Source organism: Homo sapiens, chromosome 9 (genome assembly GCF_000001405.40).
Source record: "Homo sapiens chromosome 9, GRCh38.p14 Primary Assembly".
Lineage (NCBI taxonomy): Eukaryota > Metazoa > Chordata > Mammalia > Primates > Hominidae > Homo > Homo sapiens.
In genome coordinates this window covers 111,838,856-111,841,491 of record NC_000009.12, presented here as the reverse complement: position 1 = coordinate 111,841,491, position 2,636 = coordinate 111,838,856, and the positions used below count along the sequence as shown (strand labels likewise).

The 2,636-nt window shown below is 39.8% G+C and overlaps 1 pseudogene, besides 1 other annotated feature; it reads right to left on the bottom strand.

The window, feature by feature from the left end:
- Positions 326-495: an enhancer, noted in NCBI's record as "experimental_106030 CRE fragment used in MPRA reporter constructs". NCBI's record gives its function as "activates a minimal promoter by MPRAs in K562 erythroleukemia cells, with activity observed for both the introgressed and non-introgressed 9:114603362 variant alleles {active_cell/tissue: K562}" and the evidence as "EXISTENCE:reporter gene assay evidence [ECO:0000049][PMID:34662402]".
- Positions 1,558-1,664, bottom strand: RNU6-1013P (RNA, U6 small nuclear 1013, pseudogene; annotated as a pseudogene).

Below are 2,636 nucleotides of genomic sequence, written 5' to 3'. Positions count from 1 at the left end.
GTGCCCATGATGACAGGGTCCCAAGGTAAAATGCAGAACATTCAATTAAATTTTTTTTTTTTGAGATGGAATTTTGCTCTTGTTGCCCAAGCTGGAGTGCAATGGCATGATCTCAGCTCACTGCAACCTCCGCCTCCCAGGTTCAAACATTTCTCCTGACTCAGCCTCCCATGTAGCTGGGATTACAGGTGCCTTCCACCACACCTGGCTAATTTTTTGTATTTTTAGTAGATATGGGGTTTCACCATGTTAGCCAGGCTGGCCTCAAACTCCTGACCTCAGGTGATCCTCCTGCCTCAGCCCCCCAAAGTTCTGGGATTACAGGCGTGAGCCATTGCACCCCACCGAACATTCAATTAAATTTGAATTTAAGCTAGATAAATAATTTTTTACTATAAGTACATGCCATGCAATATATGGAACATATACTAAAAATGCATCCATTGTTTGTCTAAAATTCAAAAGTAATTGTGGATCTTACATTTTAATTAGTTAAATCTGGCAAGCTTACATTTTGCTAATAATAAGTAAGGAAGCCAGGGTTCTCCAGTTTGCATAACAAACTGACCTTTTCAATTGGCTAGAAAACAGATATGAAGTAAATGGAGCCAAAGTGAAGAAGCCAGAGACCTGGAGATCTGAAATGGGTAGAAAGAACAGAAGGAGTGGGTCAGAAATGGGACTAGCAAGTGATGATGGAGCTAGGGCCAGTGACCTAGGGTCTATTCCTAGCATAGCCAGAATCCTACAGATACTACAGTTTGGTTTTGCTGCCAAACAAAATCCATCTCAGATCATGTGCATATCTTAATTTAACATTTTAGGCAGCTACAAATGAAGTGGAAAGGAGCCAAACGCTATGGACTGTCTCTACTGTGCTGACTAATTGCATTTTTGGCTTGGTGCTAGTTCACTTTGGGATTCACCTGTAATCTGAAATTTTATTTTTGCTAACTTTTGGTGTAGCCATCTTGTTTGTTTGCTACCTCATTTTCATAGAAAAACTTCCTTTTGGAAAACTTCAACTGCTCAGAGAAGAAAAGGATGTTTCCTATACCGAGGACTGGCTATATAATTTGTGGGGCTCAGTGCAAAATGAAAATGCCAGACTCTTTATTCAAGAGTTGTTACAGCCAGGCATGGGGGCTTGCATCTGTAATCCCAGCTACACAAGAGGCTGAGGCAGGAGGATCGCTTGAGTCCAGGAATTCAAGACCAGCCTGGGCAACACAGTAAGATCCTTTGTCTCTAAAAAAAATTTTTAAATTGTTAAGAATTTCAAGAAGTTTCAAGAGATCTATTGCACAACATGATGACTATCGTAAACAATAGTGTATTGCATACTTGAAAAATGGCCAAGAGAGTAGATTTGTAGTGTCCTCACCACAAAAAAATTATTAGCATGTGAAGTAATGAATATGTTAATTAGCTTGATTTAACCATTCCATAATGTATACATATATGAAAGCATCATTTTGTACATGATAAATATATATAATTTTTATTTGCCAATTAAAATTACTTTTAACTTTTTAAAAAATTTTATTTTTTATAAATAAAAATATGAAATGCTTCATGAATTTGTGTGTCATGCTTGCTCAGGGACAATGCTAATCTTCTCTGTATTGTTCCAATTTTAGTGTATATGCTGCCAAAGTGAGCACAAAGAAAAGAAAAGAAGAATTTCCAGAAGGAGACATTAAACTGAGTATGGGGTGCTTTTAAGTGCAGGACTCTGTGCAGCAACACAGATCGTACACTCATAAAGTCAACTCTGTGCATACCTCAGTCATGATAGAAAGATAAATCTGTATACTTAGAGAGAGGGACTGTGATGGGAGAAGTTTGGACTCATTTCAGAACTCACAAGGTCAGAAGGACATGGGCAGAGAGGGGAACACATGTAGGAAGGAGATGAGGTCAACTGAAACTATTGCTATAATTCTGAGATCTAGCAGGTTTCCTTTTTTTTGAGAGAGAGTCTCGCTGTGTCGTCCAAGCAGGAGTGCAGTGACGCAATCTCGGCTCACTGTAACTTCAGCACCGTGGGTTCAAGCAATTCTCCTCCCTCAGCCTGCTGAGTAGCTGGGATTACAGGCATGTGCCACGACACCCAGCTAATTTTTGTATTTTTAGTAGAGACGGGGTTTCGCCATGTTGGCCAGCCTGGTCTTGAACTCCTGACCTCAAATGATTCGACAGCCTTGGCCTCCCAAAGTGCTGGGATTACAGGCGTGAGCCACCACACCTGGGCTTTACATCTGATTTAAATTTTGTCTTATTGATTTCATACCAGCATTCCAGCCAATTGAGATCATTTTGGATATAGAGTCTGTAATTTATGATCTTAGCTTTGAGTCACCAGCTGATCTGGTAATTCTGCCATGCATGTCTTCATACACATTTCTGTTAAAACTATCTCACAGGGCAGGGCTAGGGAGAGACTGAATCCTCCACAAGACTTGCATCTGAGTGACGCAAAGACAATAATCCTACCATTTCAGGTGTGGCTCTGTCAAACATAGGAGTGTGTAAGAAGTCATAAAAGGAACCTATCTGACAATCCTTGGGACGTGAATGATCTGAAGAGTTATTTGAAATATTTTTTAGGGAAAATGTTATAAATACAAGTATCA